The sequence below is a fragment of the Homo sapiens genome, chromosome 8 (genome assembly GCF_000001405.40).
Source record: "Homo sapiens chromosome 8, GRCh38.p14 Primary Assembly".
Taxonomy (NCBI): Eukaryota; Metazoa; Chordata; class Mammalia; order Primates; family Hominidae; genus Homo; species Homo sapiens.
The window spans coordinates 94733500-94753455 of record NC_000008.11 but is presented as its reverse complement, the minus strand read 5'-3'; the positions used below and the strand labels follow the sequence as shown (position 1 = coordinate 94753455).

The 19956-nt window shown below is 40.7% G+C and overlaps 1 protein-coding gene across 10 annotated transcripts in view; it reads right to left on the bottom strand.

Annotated features, from left to right (window-relative positions):
• The window catches only part of DPY19L4 (dpy-19 like 4), a 73937-nt gene that overhangs the window by 40381 nt on the left and 13600 nt on the right, over positions 1–19956 (bottom strand). For 6 of the 10 annotated variants that reach the window (XM_005250894.5, XM_047421714.1, NM_181787.3 and 3 more), the window contains exons 3-6: positions 18702–18826; positions 14997–15087; positions 13922–14043; positions 13666–13811 (exon numbers count right to left, since the gene is read on the bottom strand). In XM_005250894.5, coding sequence (XP_005250951.2) covers positions 13666–13811; positions 13922–14043; positions 14997–15087; positions 18702–18826 — 484 coding nt within the window. Of the gene's footprint in view, positions 1–13665; positions 13812–13921; positions 14044–14996; positions 15088–18701; positions 18827–19956 lie in introns of those variants that run through there. The other 4 variants (XM_017013352.3, XM_047421715.1, XM_047421716.1 and 1 more) reach the window with 3 other exon arrangements.

The following is a 19956-nucleotide window of genomic DNA, read 5'->3' as shown; positions in this document are numbered from 1 at the left end:
AAATAATTACACTTAAATATTTTTGTTCTTGTCAATATGTGTAACAATACTAATCACTATTATAAAAAATCAAGGATCTCCGTTGCCCTATAATCCATTCAAGTATTTATCCCTTATATAAATATTTTACAGAATCAAAACTCTTCAATTAATTTACATTCTGCTTTTTAAACTTAAATGTATTTTGCATGTTTTCCCTTCTTCATACTTATTCTTTTTTGAAAAATATTTTATTATAAAAGCAGTATATGTTTGTTAAAGAAATATTAGAAAATGTATACAAACAAAAAGAAGAAAAATCTTAAAACACCTATAATCTCATCCATTCAGAGGCCAACATTGTTAAATTTTCTGCCATAGCTTAGCCAGTACAGTACGATAAGGAAAAGAAACACAAGGAATCAAGTTGCAAAGGAAAGTAAAACTGTCAGGTTTTTTTTTTTTTTTGCAGAAGATACTGTGTACATAGAAAACCCTCAAGAATCTTCAAAAGCCGGGCACTGTGGCTCACGCCTGTAATCCCAGCACTTTGGGAGGCCGAGGTGGGCGGATCACGAGGTCAGGAAATCGAGACCATCCTGGCTAACATGGTGAAACCCTGTCTCTATTAAAAATACAAAAAAATTAGCCGGGCATGGTGGCGACCGCCTGTAGTCCCAGCTACTCCGGAGGCTGAGGCAGGAGAATGGCGTGAACCGGGGTGGCGGAGCTTGCAGTGAGCCAAGATCACGTCGCTGCACTCCAGCCTGGGTGACAGAGCGAGACTCCATCACACAAAAAAAAAAATCGTAAAAAAATACTAAAACTAATAAATGAATTTAGCGAGGCTGTGGGCTACAAGGTTTCTATTTTTTTTTTTTTTTTTTTTTTGAGATGGAGTCTCACTCTGTCACCCAGGCTGGAGTGCAGTGACACAATCTCGGCTCACTGCAACTTCCCCCTCCTGGGTTCACACCATTCTCCTGCCTCAGCCTCCTGAGTAGCTGGGACTACAGGCGCGTGCCACCATGTCCGGATAATTTTTGTATTTTTAGTAGAGAGGGGGTTTCACCATGTTGGCCAGGATGATCTCCTCGATCTCTTAACCTCATGATCCGCCTGCCTAAGCCTCCCAAAGTGCTGGGATTACAGGCGTGAGACCCTGCCCCCAGCAATCTAAGCTTTTAAAATGGGCAAAATACTTAGACATTTCACAAAATACTTGAATGACCAATAAACACATGAAAAGGTACCCAATATCATTAATCATCAGGGAAATACAAGAATATAGACGACATGGAACTCTCACACAATTTTGATAGAAAAATAGAATGGTACGATCACTTTAGAAAACAGTTTGGCAGTATCTTAAAAGTTAAATATACACCAGCCATATGACCTAGCCATTCTACCCAAAAGAAATGAAAGCATATGTCCCCACAAAACTGGAAACTACCCAAATGTCCATCAGTATCTGAATAAATGCACTATGATATATCCATACTATGTAATAGAACTTAGTGATAAAAAAGAATGAACTATTAATATAAACAACATACATGAATACCAAAATTATGCTGAGTAAAAAAAGCCGGAGCCCCACCACCAAAAAGTATATGCTGTATGACTCCATTAATATATAATTCTAGAAAACACAAACTAATCTATAGAGACTGAAAGCAAATTATGCTGGGCATGCTTGCTCACACCTGTAATCCCAGCTCTTTGGGAGGCTGAGGCGTCTGAATCGTTTGAGCCCAGGAGTTCGAGATCAGCCTGGGCAACATGGTGAAACCCCATCTCTACTAAAAATACAAAAATCAGCTGGCCGTGGTGGTGCGCACCTGTAATCGCAGCTACTTGGGAGGCTGAGGCAGGAAGTGCTTGAACCCGGGAGGCAGAGGCTGCAGTGAGCCGAGATCATGCCACTGCACTCCAGCTTGGGCGACAGAGTGAGACTCAGTCTCAAAAAATAAATAAATAAATAAATAAGAAACCAGACACAGGTTTCCTGGGAACAACAGCATAGTAGTGGTGGTTGGGTAAGAAAAGAGGGAGGTCCCGGGCGTGGTGGCTCACGCCTATAATGCCAGCACTTTGGGAGGCTGAGGCGGGTGGATCATGAGGTCAAGAGATCGAGACCATCCTGGCCAACATAGTGTAACCCCGTCTCTACCAAAAATACAAAAAAATAGCCAGGCGCGGTGGCGGGCGCCTGTAGTCCCAGCTACTCGGGAGGCTGAGGCAGGAGAATGGCGTGAACCCAGGAGGCGGAGCTTGCAGTGAGCCGAGATCACGCCACTGCACTCCAGCCTGGGCAACAGAGTGAGACTCTGTCTCAAAAAAAAAAAAAGAAAAGAAAGAAAAGAGGGAGGTATTAGAAAGGAAATTTTGGAGACTGGGCTTAGTGGCTCACGCCTGTAATCCCGGCACTTTGGGAGGCTGAGGCAGGCAGATCACTTGAGGTCAGGAGTTTGAGACCAGCCTGGCCAACATGGTGAAACCCAGTCTCTACTAAAAACATAAAAATTAGCCAGGCATGGTGGCACGTCTATAACCCCAGCTACTCAGGAGGCTGAGGCAGGAGAATTGCTTGAACCTGGGAGGTGGAGGTTGCAGTGAGCCGAGATTGCGCCACTGCACTCCAGCCTGGGTGACAGAGTGAGATCCTGTCTCAAAAAAAAAAAAAAAGGAAATTTTGGGTAGTGATGGATATGTTTATTATATTGATTGTGTTGATGATTTTGTGGGTATATTCAAATGCCTAAATTGATCAAATTGGACACTCTAAATATGTCCAGTTCATTCTATGTCAATTATACCTCAATAAAGCTGTTAAAAAAGCATTAAAATAGTTATTCACATATACATTCATAGAAGATAGGTTTGCATATATATACACACACACACACACAGATACACATATATATGCAAAAACAGGATCACATGTGAGAGTCAAATGAAACAAAAGCTGCAAGGAAGTTAGCAGTGCCTAGAACCTAGTAAACATTCAGTATTATAGCAAATCTTAGCTCTTTTCTAATTCTCTAACAAACTATTTTTTACTTAACAATATATTATGAACATCTTTCCAAGATACACGTCAATAAACATACTTCAAGAACAGTTAATGACCATGACACACCATCGTGTAGATCTACTATAATCTAACCAATTTCCTATTGTTATACACTTTGTTTCCAACTTTGTCTATGACAAATAATTTTTTAAAACATGAACCACGCGAGGCACAGTGACTTTGGGAGGCCAAGGCAGGTGGATCACTTGAGGCCAGGAGTCCAAGACCAGCCTGGCCAACATGATGAAACCCCATCTCTACTAAAAATACAAAAATTAGCTGGCTGTGGTGGTGCACGGCTGTAGTCCCAGCTACTCAAGAGGCTGAGGCATGAGAATCACTTGAACCCACTAGGGAGAGGTTGCAGTGAACTGAGATTGCACCACTGCACTACAGCCTGGGTTACAGAGCAAGACTTGGTCAAAAACAAACAAACAAAAAACATGAACCAATATTTTTATATAGTAATTATTGATTTCATTGTTTAAGCTCATTAATCCATCTGAAATTTATCTTAATGTACGTGCAATAAGGATTTATTTTCCAGATTTGGTTGTCCCAATACCATTTAATGAACATGATGTCTTCTGTAGGGAATAGAGAAGTTCTTCTTCAAAGTTTCTTAATCCATAAAGGGTTTATCATTCCCTGGTTAAATGTTTGTATGTGTATATTCCAAGGCTGCTCCAACTTGTTCTGGTAGGTTGAGATAAGGCTAAATGAGTCCCAAATTAGGATGCATGCCATTCCTTATTTGGAAACCCCTCTGACCTCTTATCACTAACTTCCTCTTTTCTTTGTCCTCTTTCCCTTCTCCCTATTTAGGAAAGTTTTAAATTATTCGCCAATCGAGTTAAGTTTAGAGTGTGAGGTCCCATCCCAGTCAATGGGAACAGGACACAGCTCTAGGGGGTTGCATCAGGATGTAAAGGTTATAAATGTCCTCCACTCCTTTGTTCAGTGTGCTCTCGTGGCTGGACTGCTGCCGAGTACACCCTTTCTGCAGAAAGTAAACTAGCCTTGCTGAGGGACCTTTGTCTCAATGTTGATTTCTTTGCAACATTGAACTCCCGTGCCCAACATCTTCTAAAGCAGCAGCCCCCAACCTTTTTGGCACCAGGGACTGGTTTTCTGGAAGACAATCCGTGGATGTGGGGTGATATGGTTTGGCTGTGTTCCCACCCAAATCTAATCTTGAATGTAGCTCCCACAATTCCCAAGTGTTGTGGGAGGGAGCCAGTGGGAGGTAATTGAATCATGGGGGCAAGTCTTTCCCGTGCTATTCTCGTGATAGTGAATAAGTCTCACAAGATCTGATAGTTTTATAAAGAGGAGTTTCTCTGCATAAGCTCTCTTCTCTTGTCTGCTACCATGTGAGACGTGCCTTTCACCTTCTGCCATGATTGTGAGGCCTCTCCAGCCACAAGGAACTGAGTCCATTAAACCTTTTTCTTTTGTAAATTTCCCAGTCTTAGGTATTTCTTTATCAGCAGTGTGAAAACAGACTAATACAGGGGAGTTGGGGAGATGGTTTGGGGATGAAATTGTTCCACCTCAGATCATCAGGCATTAGTTAGATTCTCATAAGGAGCACACAACCTAGATCCCTCAAATGCGCAGTTCACAATAGGGTTCGTGCTCCTATGAGAATATAATGCCTCTGCTGATCTGACAGGAGGCGGAGCTCAGGCAGTAATGCAAGCAATGGGGAGTGGCAGTAAATACAGATAAATCTGCAGTTGTCATCATCATCATCATCGTCATCATCATCATCATTGTCACTGCTGCTGCTGCTGCCACTCACCTCCTGCTGTGAGGCCAGGTTCCTAACAGGCCTCTGATGGGTACTGGTCTGTGGCCTGGGAGTTGGGAATCCCTGTTCTAAAGATGACCTATTTTCATATAATATTATCCCAAAAAATTTTTTTGAAAGGTAACTTTCTAAAAGACAAACAAGAAATTCACATATCATAAGGTAAGAGGTGGGGCAGAAGGACCCCAGCAACCACTCCATCAGCCCAGGACCAGGAAGCTGAACTCAGTAGTTCCGTTCCCAAAGGTTTACCTACCACCCCTACCCAACTCACATATTAGTGCAGTCAAATCTTTAAAACTCTGCACCAGAAACACAAGGTAGGTGTCTGGAATACAGATGGGAAGAATCCTTCTCCAGTGTCTGCTGCACAAACTGAGTAGGATCTCTGCCAGCCATTCCCTGCACCCACAAGTGACATCCTGGACAAGCCTCCCCTTTACCACCTCCCTCGACACCTATGCTACTCACTCTCTTCCCCTGACAATGTGTGGTGGGAGTAAGAACCAGAAGGCTAACAGTGGGAGGTGACAAAATCAAATGAGACCCACTTTTTTCCTGCAGTAGCAGAGTCTGACAGATTGTAGCACAAACTAACAGTTCAAAACAGTAATTAGATCAATTTTGGAGTCCACAGACCTGCTGATACATTCACAGGGTTCTGCAACTTCTCTTTGAGTTTAATTTCGTGTCTTCATTTTAATGTTTAGAAACATCATAGTATAGGCCCAGCGCGGTGGCTCACGCCTGTTATCCCAGCACTTTGGAAGGCCGAGGCGGGTGGATCATGAGGTCAGGAGATCGAGACCATCCTGGCTAACATGGTGAAACCCCATCTCTACTAAAAATACAAAAAAAATTAGCCAGGCATAGTGGCAGGCACCTATAGTCCTAGCTACTCGGGAAGCTGAGGCAGAAGAATGGCGTGAACCCGGGAGGCGGATCTTGCAGTGAGCCGAGATCGTGCCACTGCACTCCAGCCTGGGCAACAGAGCGAGACTCTGTCTCAAAAAAAAAAAAAAAAAAAAAAGAACCATCATAGTATAAACACTATACATCACATGGATGACCCCCATGGAACTCACTATTGCCAAAGACTTCAGTGCTCACTTTCGTGTGGTGTTAACATCTAGTTGGCAATGCGGTACCACTTTAATTGGTTTGGGCTAATCAGAAAAAATGACATAGTCTTAATAATAAATGCTACATTGCCAAATAAAAACAAAACAATCACCCAGGCACAGTGGCTCATGTCTGTAATCCCAACACTTTGGGAGGCTTAGGTAGGCAGATCGCTTGAGCCCAGGAGTTCGAGACCAGCCTGGGCAGCATGGCGAGACCCCACCTTTACTAAAAAAAGCAGGGCGTGGTGGTGTACACCTGTTATCCAGCTACTAGAGAAGCTAAGATGGGAAGATCACCTGAGTCTAGGGAGGTTGATGATGCAGTGAGCTATGATCACACCACTGCACTTGAGCCTGGGTGATGGGAGTGAGACTCTGTCTCAAAAAACCCGAAACAACAGCAACAAAAAAAAACCAATGTTCTGATCACTATGGTAAAAAAAAAAATTGTTTGTAGTAGACTAACAGAGCCAAAATGATGAGAACTGAGTCATTCACAGCACCCAGTTGTACAGGTGTATTACAGTTGCAAGGACCTGCTAACCTTGTCTCCAAGAAAGAAAGAAAAAGAAAGAAAGAAAGCAAGAAAAGAAACGAATGAACCTGTTGCTACACTGGTATCACATTTACACTGAGGGTTTACAATTTGGTTTCGGTAAAATATCACTTTTACATAAATTAGTATTTTCAAGTAATATTTTACTGGTTTATTATTTTATTGGTAAATTAGTTTCAATTTTATAGCACATTTAAGTATAAGGAGCTTTACCTAGTTTTATGTTTTATATTTAAGTAGCATTATAATTCAAATTATTTAAGTCAACACATGAATCCATGAGAATAACTTAAGTTTTAAATATCTATAACTGAAGTTTGAGAAACAAGGAGTTAGATGACATATGTCTAAGTTTGTCATGTCAATATGTAATATGTGAAAGCTGAAAACCACCTGTACAATGTCAATACAATGACTGCACATTCCCTTGTACTAATGTATTACAACTTACCTAACCATTCTCTTCTGATTTTTTATATTATTACAAGTGACTATATTACTATTATAAATTATAAACGTATTGTTTTTTAAATCATTACAAACAAGCTGGGCATGGTGGCTCACGCCTGTAATCCCAGCACTTTGGGAGGCCAAGGCAGGTGAATCGCCTAAGTTCAGGAGTTCAAGACCAGCCTGGCCAATATGGTGAAACCCTGTCTCTACTAAAATACAAAAATTAGCTGGGCATGGTGGTGGGTGCCTGTAATCCCAGCTACTCAGGAGGCTGAAGCAGGAGAATCACTTAAACCCAGGAGGTGGACATTGTAGTGAGCCAAGATCGCACCCCTGCACTTTAGCCTGGGCAACAGAGACAGACTCCATCTGAAAAAAAAAAAAAAAAAAAAAAAAATGGCCAGGCATGGTGGCTCACGCCTGTAATCCCAGCATGTTGGGAGGCTGAGGTGGGCAGATCACCTGAGGTCGGTAGTTTGAGACCAGCCTGACCAACATGGAGGAACCCTGTCTCTACTAAAAACACAAAATTAGGTGGGTGTGGTGGCTCATGCCTGTAGTCCCAGCTACTCGGGAGGCTGAGGCAGGAGAATCACTTGAACCTGGGAGGCAGAGGTTGCGGTAAGTCAAGATCGCATTATTGCACTCTAGCCTGTGAAACATGAGTGAAACTCCGTCTCAAAAAAAAAAATTTATTACAAACAATGCTACAATACATAAATCCAAGTAACAAACTCTTTCCTTCTTTTTGAATTACTTCCTTGGAATAAAACGGAATTCCTGGGAGAAACTGCTCCCTAAAATTGAAAAAACTTATATCTCCACCAGCAGCCTGAGTATACCAACATCATCACCACAGAATCAGTATCATGTGTTCCATTATTGTCTGCCAATTGTATCTCTGGGACATGTACATTTCCTTGCATCTTATTCCTTAATTGTTACCATTGTACAACTGTACAATGTTACAATGTACAGTTGCTTTTTTGCCAAAGATTAAATTTAATACAGACTTTTAATCAAACATATTTTCAGCACTCCTCAAATATAAAGATGTTTCCCCTGAAAGTGAAACCTAGGTATGTATTTGTAGATGAGAAGATCATGGGGAACAAGACAATTTCCACATTGCTTCTACGTGGAACCTGGACTCTGTCAGTCCATTTTGGTGGCAAGTCTTCAAAGGGAGTCACTCACCTCTGATTTTTTCCCCCTATCTGTACAATGCCGTTTCCTGAAATCTCTTTGAATTTTCTAGTATACCTACACCTTTTAGTTTGAACAAACAGGAACGATTTTATAACCCTGCTTTCCCCTTCCAGTGTTAAGGAACAAGTAACATAAAATACCATTAAGAACACGAATAATCATAATATAATGGAATGACTTTAATATCTTTTTATACTTTTCTAAGAAGTCATATATAAATAAAAGCTATAAAGCTGATGAATAAAGAGACAGCATATTCTTTCATGGCATTAAAATGTATTTTGCAGTACAAGATACATACCAATAAAATATAAACAAAAAGCAAACAAACGCATTTTTTAAAACTTAGCTATTAAGAACATTTCAATTGTCAAAAGATACATTTGAGTAGAATATACCAGGTCAATTTTTCTATTTAACTTCTACTCCAGCAATACAACATACATCAGTGACATCAAATAAGGCAGTCAGACTTCTGTTTATTTTATTTCTTACAATTCTCACTAAGATCTCTAAAGAGAGTCTTATTCTTTTGTTTAAGTAGCATAAGAGAGTCTTATTCTTTAAAACCATTATGTTTACATGAGAAAGTATCTTTTCCTCTTCAAATATGAAGACAGATATAGGGATTACATGAAATTAATAGCAAAGTTAATTGAATGTGGTAGCCAGCCTCCAAGACGGTCCCAATGATTCCTGCCTCCTGGTATTAATATCCTGTGTTGTCACCTCCCACACTGTACCAGGGGTCTGTGCAACTGACAAAATATGGCAGAGTGATGTTATATCATTTCTAAGATGAGGTTATAACAGATACCTGGCTTCCATTGTGGCACACTCTCTCATACTCTCTTGGATCATTCACTGTAAGGGAGACCAGCTGCCAAGTTGCATGCTGCCCTATGGAGAGGCCCATATGTAAGAAATTAAGGCCTCCCTGGCCAAAAGCCAGTAAGGTACTGGGCCTCTGGGAAATGGCCACATGAGTGAGCTTGGAAGCAGATGCTTCAGCCCAGCCAGGCCTTCAGACGACACAGTACAAGCCAACATCATAACTGAAACCTCATGAGAGACCCTGAGCTAGAACCACCAATCTAAACCTCTTGGGATTCCTGACCCACCGAAATATGTGAGATGTTTGTTGTTTTAAGCTGTTAAATTTCGGGTGATTTGTTATGCAGCAATAACTAATACATCACACAATCAAAAAAGCAATCCTTTTATTTTTATTTATTTTGAAACAGACTCTCACTCTGTCACCCTGGCTGGAGTGCAGTGGCATGATCTCAGTTCAATGCAGCCTCCGCCTCTCAAGTTCAAGCAATTCTCCTGCCTCAGCCTCCTGAGTAGCTGGGACTATAAGCACCTGCCACCACATCTGGCTAATTTTTGTATTTTTAGAGGAGATGGGGTTTCACCATGTTGGCAAGGCTAGTCTTGATCTCCTGACCTCAAGTGATCCACCCGCCTCAGCCTCCCTAAGTGTTGGGATTACAGGCGTGAGCCACTGCACGCAGCCAAGAAAGCAATCCTTTTAGAAAGTCTATATTTTAAATAATACAATAATCATTTGTATTAAATACAACTTCATTCATTCATTTATTTTTGAGACAGGGTCTCTCTCTGTCACCCAGGCTGGAGTGTATGGCACAGTCAATAGCTCACTGCAGCCTCAGGCTTAAGTGATCCTCCTGCCTCAGCTTCCTGAGTAGCTGGGATTGCAGGCACACACCACCAAGCCTGGCTATTTTTTTTTTTTTTTTAAGTAGAGATGATGAGGTCTCACTATGTTGCCCAGACCGGTCTCAAACTCCAGGTCTCAAGTGATCCTCCTACCTGGGCCTCCCAAAGTGCTAGAATTATAGGTGTGAGCCACTACACCTGACCCCACTTCACTTTAAAATACAAGAATTGGCTAGACACAGTGGCTCACGCCTGTAATCCCAGCACTTTGGGAGGCCGAGGCGGGTGGATCACTTGAGGTCAGGAGTTCAAGAACAGCCTGGGCCAACATGGCAAAACCCCCACCTCTATTAAAAATACAAAAATTAGCTGGGTGTGGTGGTGGGCACCTGTAATCCCAGCTACTCAGGAGGCTGAGGCAGGAGACTCACTTGAATGCGGGAGGCAGAGGTTGCAGTGAGCCGAGATTGTGCCATTACACTCTAGCCTGGGCGACAAGAGCAAGACTACATCTCAAAAAATAAATAAATAAATAAAATAAAATAAAAGACTTTTGGTGGGGCATGGTGGCTCATGCCTGTAAGCTCAGCACTTTGGGAAGCCAAGGCAGGCGGGTCACCTGAGGTCAGGAGTTTGAGACCACCCTAGGCAACATGGTGAAACCACAACTCTACCAAAAAATATAAAAATCAGCCAGGCATTGGCCGGGCGCGGTGGCTCACACCTATAATCCCAGCACTTTGGGAGGCTGAGGTGGGTGGATCACTTGAGGTCAATTCAAGACCAGCCTGGCCAATATGGTGAAACCCCATCTCTACTAAAAATACAAAAAAATTAGCTGGGCATTGTGGCATGTGCCTGTAATCCCAGCTACTCGGGAGGCTGAGGCAAGAAAATTGCTTGAACCTGGGAGGCAGAGGTTGCAGTGAGCCAAGATCGCGCCACTGCACTCCAGCCTGGGCAACAGAGAAAGACTCCATCTCAAAAAAAAAAAAAAAAATTAGCCAGGCATGGTGGCATGTGCCTGTGGTCCCAGCTACTGGGGAGGCTGAGGTGGGAGAATCACTTGCATCCATGAGCCAGAGGTTACAGTGAGCCAAGATCGTGCCATTGCACTCCAGCCTAAGCAACAGAGTAAGACTCTGTCTCAAAAAGAAAGTAAAAAAAAAAAATAAGTAAAATATAAGACTTTCTTTTTTTTTGAGACGGAGTCTCGCTCTGTCGCCCAGGCTGGAGTGCAGTGGCGAGATCTCAGCTCGCTGCAAGCTCTGCCTCCTGGGTTCACGCCATTCTCCTGCCTCAGCCTCCCGAGTAGCTGGGACTACAGGCGCCCGCCACCACACTTGGCTAATTTTTTGTATTTTTAGTAGAGATGGCGTTTCACCGTGTTAGCCAGGATGGTCTCTATCTCCTGACTTCGTGATCCACCTGCCTCAGCCTCCCAAAGTGCTGGGATTACAGGCGTGAGCCACCGCACCCGGCCATAAAATATAAGATTTTCTAAACCTAGTCTATGAGTATTATTATAACTTTCTGTCTTTCTAAAAATAAATCCTAATAGAATTTTAGAAAAGTACACAGCAACTCAAAATGTCCTGTAACAGGCACTTTCTGACATAACAAAAAATCATCTTGTCCTCCTAGTTGCCAGACTGGATTTTCTAATTCCATTCTATACTAAAAGGAACCAAAGCGCCAATGAGAAATGGCTATTTACAAATCTTCTGCAGCAAAAGTGCAAACCTACTCACCTTGTTGAGCCAGAAAACAAGAAAGCTTTCAAAGATTAACAAAGTTGTGTCAAAAGAACTCAGGAGCCGGCCTGAAAGGTACTCCTATTAACCAAGGGTGTGACAATTTGAGCAACAGAAGAACATTGATCAAAATGTTCTGAATCAATGAAATCAATTAAAATGAATCACTGAATCAATAAAAATCCATAAGTACAGAAAGATGCTTAGAAAAGAGAACACCAGAATCAAAGGTTTTTGTCACTGAGAAAGCTATTAAATTAATCTCTTATTTAGAAATTGGTAAATTGAAATTAAGCATTTGTCTTCACTTTCTAATAGTGACTTGAAGGTAACCAAAAAGCCCTGGTTAATGAGGAAAAATTCTACTTTTGAAGAATGAAGAATGTAGCTAATGAAAATAGAAAAATATAATTTTATAAAACCTAATAAAATTACTACTTTAAGGCAAAGGTTACAAACTGGTGTTACAACTGTTAGGTAAATGCTTAATGGTAAAAAGGACATTCATTTGGTGCTAAAAAACGCCACACAGATTATTCTCCAGTTATTAGAGAAAAACATAACTATTCAATGGAGAGATCTGACTGCCATTCCCCCAAACCAGTAGTCAATCTCAGCTTCACTAGGGGTTGATCAATTAACTATAATTTCTACTGTCATGGAACATGAAAAATATATAATCTACCATATATTTCAACCAGAACTGTTTATTTTGAACCCATCAAGCCTTTACACATAACTTTCAGATTACAGAAACACAGGAGATAAAGGTAAAAGCTAAATGACACCACAGGATGCAACAAGACTTAGTCTCTTCAACATAAAAAGGGGGACTATGTTAGATTTACAGAGTATTAAGGAACATAACAACCAGATGCACTATGGAGTCCTGGATTAAATCCTGATTTGGATAAATCAGCTATATAGAGTATTTTAGGGTCAACCAGGGAAACTGTAATAAGGTCTGGGTATTAGATAAGATAAAAAGTTATAGAAATGGAAAGGCAGTGACAGTTGAATAGAGAAAGCAGCATAAAAAAAACAGTATTGCAGCCGGGCGCAGTGGCTCACACCTGTAATCCCAACACTTTGGGAGGCCAAGGTGGGTGGATCACGAGGTCAGGAGATTGAGACCATCCTGACCAAGATAGTGAAACTCTGTCTCTACTAAAAATACAAAAAAATTAGCCGGGTTTGGTGGCGGGCGCCTGTAGTCCCAGCTACTCCCGAGGCTGAGGCAGGAGAATGGTGTGAACCTGGGAGGTGGAGCTTGCAGTGAGCCGAGATCGCACCACTGCACTCCAGCCTAGGTGACAGGGCAAGACTCCGTCTCAAAAAAATGAAAAACAAAAACAAAACCAAAACAAAACCAAAACAGTATTGTAAATAGACCTGATTTTGGTAAAAAATACATATACAAATACACAGATGCATACACACACACATTCACCTAGAAGACCCAAAATTCAGATTCTAAGGATTAGGATGAATAAAAAAAGAAAAAGATCCAAAAGAATATGCTGGCATATTATGTCTCAATTTTTGCATATAGTGGCATAAAACAACACAAATTTATTATCTCACAAAGGCCAGCAGAGTATGGCTGGATGCTCTGCTCAGTATCCCTAAGCTAAAATCAAGGCATCGGCCAGAGCTACAGTTTTCATCAGGGGCTTGTAGTCCTCTTACAATATCATTGGCTACTAGCAGAATTCATTTCCTCCTTGCTTCATGCCTGCAGTGGTGCAGAAAATCCTCTGATCTCTCTTTCTACACAGGCTAGAGAAAGCACTTTGGTTTTAAGGGCTCACGTGATTAGACCAGGCCCACAGGGTAATCTTTCCAATCTGTCTAATGTGCTATACAAAGTATCATAATCATGGGAATGGCATCTCATCATATTCATAGGTTCTGAGGATTAGAGTGAGGACTGTTGGGGAGGGGAGGCATTTTCAGAACTCTGACTACTACAGCCACAAAAAGTTTTTAAAAATCAATTAAAACAGCTTTCTTACCTGTTAATAACGAACCACGCAACAGTAAGCATTCCTGCTAGCCATGTTCCACTCATAAGCCAACTTGTAACAAATAAAGCAGTAACATATATTCCTTGCAATCCAAAAACAATGCCAATATAGAAATACACTGGCTCAATAATCTCCTATGTGGAAAAAACAGAAAGAGAACAAGACAATAGGATGGCATTAAATAATTTGAGGATTCATGAATACATGAGAAAATAAATATTAGGGTCCAACGAAAAATACATACATTGCTACCAGTGGCTTGATATAAAATGCTAGCAATAAGTTCCGGATACAGAGACATTTGCTGCACTGCATTTATAGTCTTCAGAGATACAGTTTTGTTATTGTGTGTCAGTTCGTAAACACCTAAAGACAGAAAGATTTTTCTCCAGATTATTTATTCTGCTTCACAGTAATTAAACATGTCATTAGTCCTTAAATATTTAATATTGTTATCAAGAAAGATCCCAAATAGAATACTCCATGCTGCATTTTCCATTTTTTAAAAATTTAGCACAATAAAGAGAAATATCTATATCCTGAGACAAATCCCCACATTGAAAGGTCCCAATATAGCAGAATAGAAGTTATCAGAGGCTGGGAAGAGTAGAGGGGAGGGGAGGATAGGGAGAGACTGGTTAATGGATACAAAATTACAGCTAGATAGGAAAAATAACTTCTAGTATTCTGTAGTACTATAGAATGAATATGGTTAACAACAATTTAGTGTATATTTTCAAAAAGCTGAGAGTTGATTTGGGATATTCATAACACAAGGAAGTGATATATGTCCAATGTGATGGATATACTAACTACCCTGATTTGATCATTATACATTGTGTATAATATCAAAATATCACTCCCCATAAATATGCACAATTACTACATGTAAAGTAAAAATAAAAGGAGGAGGAAAGGTTCTAAAATAGAAGAACAAAGTTTTATTTAAGAAAAATATTGATATTACAGCCGGGCGCAGTGGTTCACACCTGTAATCCCAGCACTTTGGGAGGCTGAGGCGGGCAGATCATGAGGTCAAGAGTTCGAGACCAGCCTGGCCAACATGGTGAAACCCCGTCTCTACTAAGTATACAAAAATTAGCCGGGCATGGTGGTGCATGCCTTTAATCCCAGCTACTAGGGAGGCTGAGGCAGGAGAATTGCCTGAACCGGGAGGCAGAGGTTACAGTGAGCCAAGATCGCACCACTGCACTCCAGCCTGGGTGACAGAGCAAGACTCCGTCTCGGAAAAAAAAAAAAAAGAAAAGAAAAGAAAAAGGAAAATACTGTTATTAAAAATATAACTGTGATTATCATACCTCTTTCAAATGAAGGTGCCTTTAACATATCTTTATAATAGGAGTAATAAATGGCACTGTCACCCTGAAACGTGATTTCCCGTTCAAGCTCCTAAAAGAAAATGAAATTATTATTTAAAATTTAATTTTTTTTTTTTTTTTGAGACAGAGTCTCGCTCTGTCGCCCAGGCTGGAGTGCAGTGGCGCGATCTCGGCTCACTGCAACCTCCGCCTCGTAGGTTCATGCCATTTCTCCTGCCTCAGCCTCCCGAGTAGCTGGGACTACAGGCGCCTGCCACCACGCCCGGCTATTTTTTTGTATTTTTAGTAGAGATGGGGTTTCACCGTGTTAGTCAGGATGGTTTCGATCTCCTGACCTCATGATCCACCCACCTCAGCCTCCCAAAGTGCTGGGATTACAGGCGTAAGCCACCACGCCCAGACTTAAATTTAAGTTTTTTGTTTTTAAGAGACAGAGTCTCTCTCTGTTACCCAGGCTGGTGTGCAGAGGCACAATCATGGCTCACTGAAACCTCAAATGATCCTCCCACCTCAGCTACCCAGTAGCTAGGACTACAGGCACATGGCCAGCATTTTTGTTTTGTTTTGTTTTATTTTTTTGTAAAGAAGGGGGTCTCACAATGTTGCCCAGGCTGGATTATTTGAAGTTTTTTGTTTTGTTTTGTTTTGTTTTGTTTGAAACAGAGTCTTGCTCTGTTGCCCAGGCTAGAGTGCAGTGGCGCCATCTCTGCTCACTGCAACCTCCGCCTCTTGGGTTCACGCCATTCACCTGCCTCAGCCTCCCAAGTAGCTGGGACTACAGGCACCCGCCACCACGCCCGGCTAATTTTTTGTGTTTTTAGTAGAGACGGGGTTTCACCGTGTTAGCCAGGATGGTCTCAATCTCCTGACCTCGTGATCCGCCCACCTCGGCCTCCTAAAGTGTTGGGATTACAGGCGTTGAGTCACCGCCTGGCCCTTACTTGGTTTTAAATTTCAGCCTCTGGCCCAGCGTGTTGGCTCACGCCTGTAATCCCAGCACTTTCGGAGGCCGAAGTGGGTGGATCACTTAAGGTCAGGAGTTTGAGACCAGCCTGGCCAACATGGTGAAACCCTGTCTCTACTAAAAATAGAAAAATTAGGCCTGGTGGTGTGTGTCTGTAATCCCAGCTACTCGGGAGGTGGGAGAATCGCTTGAACCCAGGCGGCACAGGTTGCAGTGAGGCGAGATCACACCACTGCACTGCAGCCTTGGGACATGGAGTGAGATTCTGTCTCAAAAAATAATAACAATAAAATAAATTTCAGCCTCAATCTTCTGTCTCCCTCCTCACCTTCCAAATTAACATATTAATAATATTTATCCTTTTTATTCAAAGACATGTTTGAATTTTCTTTAATTACTAGTGGCCCCATTAATGAGGAACTTAACTTTTTAGTAATCTGGCAATAATTTTAATGAAACATTAAGGTTTAAAATGAATTGTAAATCACAAGTCATCACTTGTTATATATAACATATATCCGGAAAATCTAGAAGGAAAACCACAAGACATGCCCTAAGAATAGCAAGAATAGTGAGAGAGGCAATAACAAATGATATTTGAAGTGTTAGAAGTCCATAATAAAAAGACAAGTTTAAGGAGAAAGTCATATTTTCTATTACTGTTCCACATCTCTATGTATGCAGAACAGCAAGTCTTTAATTAGTACTTTGCAAGAGCAGCAGATACTTAATCAGTGCTCTTCACATGAACTTCCAGAGGTACAGCAAATCTTAAAATTCCTACAATCAGGCTAATAGAACTAAGAATATAATAGTAAAAATCACCTTAGGAGGCTTTGTGCTTTTTAGACTGAATCAAAATTTTATGAATCTATAATCTTTTAAAATCAAATGAATTATTTTTATGCATAATATGTATCAATTAATACAAAAATAAAAATATTAGAGCACTTTTCACAAAGTTTGATCAACAGAACTTCCTAAAATGTTAACGGATGTTACCAAAAAAGAATTCTGTAGTTAAATAAGTTTTGAGAAAGACTAGATTAAACAAAATCAAACAGCTTTATTGTAAGACTTTTCAGAGTTTCAGTATATCTTATATATTGTGACTCTCCAAGAGGAAGTCTTTTCAGATCTATTTTTCCCCATCTTGAGTTTGCTGTGATCTGAATACATGTGTCCTCCTAAAATACATATGGTGAAACCTAATACCCAATGAGAAGATATTTGGAAGTGGGATGTCTGGGAGGTGATTAGGTCATGAGGGCAGTTCCCTCAAGAATGGGATTAATGTCCTTATAAAAGAGGCCCCACAGCGATCCCTTGCTGCTTCCACCATGTGAGGATGCAGCAAGATGATCCCTGCTATAAACCAGGAAGCAAGCCCTCACCAGACACCAAATCTGCCCATGCCTTGATCTAGGACTTTTCAGCCTCCAGAACTGTGAGAAATAAATTTCTGTTGTTTACAAGCCATTCTGTTGTTTATAAGCTTATGGTACTTTGTTATAGCAGCCTGAATGAACTAAGAGCTTACTGACCTAAATAAATTACTTTAAAATTTTTTTTATGAATGCAAATACTTGTTTCTAAGATTTCAAAGATGTAAACTCTCAATCAGTGCTTCTCAAATCTACTGGGTATATGAAACACCTGGAGACCTTATTAAACTGTAGATTCGGATTTTAAAGTGGGGTCTGAGAGTCTATGATTCTGAAAAAGCTCCCAGATTCTGCCAATGCTCCTGACCCATACGCAAAGCTTTGTAAAACAAAGTTCTTAATGAAGGCCTTCTAATTTTCAAAGCTTTGGTTATTCTCAGTTCTGCCTATACAACATAATCACCTGAAAATATTTATCAACATACTGATCGCAGCCTGTCCCACTGCCCCTACCTAAGAATCTGAGAGGGAGGTTATCTTTGAAAGCTCCCTAGATGATTCTATCATATATCCATTGTTGAGAACTGCAGTTAATCTGCATAACATTTTCAGGGAAATAATATATGCTACAGTAATAGCTAAATCAAGACAGATATAGTCAGTAATTACTCAGTTAAATGTCTTGATGGTGTTAATTAAACCAATTGCTTTAAAATACTCAGTCAGCTTGACTAAAAAATAAGAAAAACAAAAAACCCAGTTTGGGCTCAAAAATTAAAAAACTCTACAAAGCCAAGAGGACTTTGCAAACAAACTTATTCAAAAGTCAAACTATGAAATTATGAATACAACTATAGTGACTGAAGAATCTGTGGAAATATACATGATTGAAAACCAAACACTAAACACAGTAATATGAGACAAAATCTTAATACTATGTGATGCCTGTTAATCCCTTTCAACACCCTCAAAAACATTCTAATCATGTGATCTAAAAATTAAAATATTTTAATACTAAAACTTCCACAGATTGTTTCTGAAATGTGAACTATCTATCAAAACTATGAAAAGGCTGACTAAACTCCATAACATTTCACTGTCATCAAAAGTCCCTGATAAGTTAATTGCAGAAAGGGGAGCACCCTCATAGTTTTATTCTATGAAATACACTATTAGTATTTTAAGGTTGATACTGTAACTATATTCTCAAAACAGCTTCTGGAGCATTTTGTTCCTAATAGCCATAAATAAGACAGCACTTGTCATACTTATCATACATACATTCTGGTTCCCTGGGAAAATAACTTTCATATGCTCAAAATTCTTTCTTCTTACCTGCCTGTTGGAAAACCAGAATTTCCGTTCATGGTATGCTGATAAGTAGAGAGCATACATCATACCACTAGTAACCGCTGCAAGACAGCCAATGAAAATCTTTGCAAAGCGTTGAAATAATACATCTGAAAAAGTATATTAAAAGTAATGAAAAGGTAATATGTACCCTTGATATGATGTAATTAAAAATGGCATTCTACCTCTATGGTCTTTGTCCCCAAAACCCACAACTCGAGTCTAATTGTGAGAAAAGCATCAGATAAATTCCAACAGAGGGGCATCCTATAAATATATCTCTCAAACTGTCAAGGTCATCAAAAACAAGAGCTTGAGAAAGTATCAAAGCCAAGAGGAGCTTAACAGACATAATAACCAAATGTCATGTGGTATTGTGGATGGGATACTGGGACAGAAAAAAGACATTAGGGGCTGGGCATGGTGGCACTTTGGGAGGCCAAGGCAGGCAGATCACTTGAGGTCAGGAGTTTGAGACCAGCCTGGCCAACATGGTGAAACTAAAATACAAAAATTAGCTGGGTGTGGTGGCGCACACTTGTAATCCCAGCTACTCGGGAGGCTGAGGCACAAGAATCATTGAATCAGGGAGGTGGAGGTTGCAGTAAGCCGAGATCATGCCACTGCACTCCAGCCTGGGGGACAGAGCAAGATTCCGTCTCAAAAAAAAAAAAAAAAGACATTAGGTAAAAACTAAGGAAATCTGAATATCTGAATAACATATGATCTTAAATTAATAATAATGTATCAATATTGCTTCATTAATTGTAACAAATGTACCATACTAATGTAAAATGTTAATAATAAGGGAAACTCCATATGTGGGAGAGTGTAATACAGGAACTCTATCTGCTCAATTCTTCTGCAAATCTAAAATTGTTTTAAAAATTAAAGTATAGGCCGGGCGCGGTAGCTCACGTCTGTAATCCCGCCACTTTGGGAGGCCGAGGTGGGTGGATCACCTGAAGTCAGGAGTTCGAGACCAGCCTGGCCAACCTGGTGAAACCCTGTCTGTACTAAAAATACAAAAATTAGCTGGGTGTGGTGGCGGGTGCCTGTAATCCCAGCTACTCGGGAGGCTGAGGCAGGAGAATCACTTGAACCTGGGAGGCGGAGGTTGCAGTGAGCAGAGAGCGTGCCACTGCACTCCAGCCTGGGCAACAGAGCAAGACTCTGTCTCAAAAAAATAATAAAATACAAAAATAAGATAAAATTTAAAGTCTATATTCTGCAAGAGGAA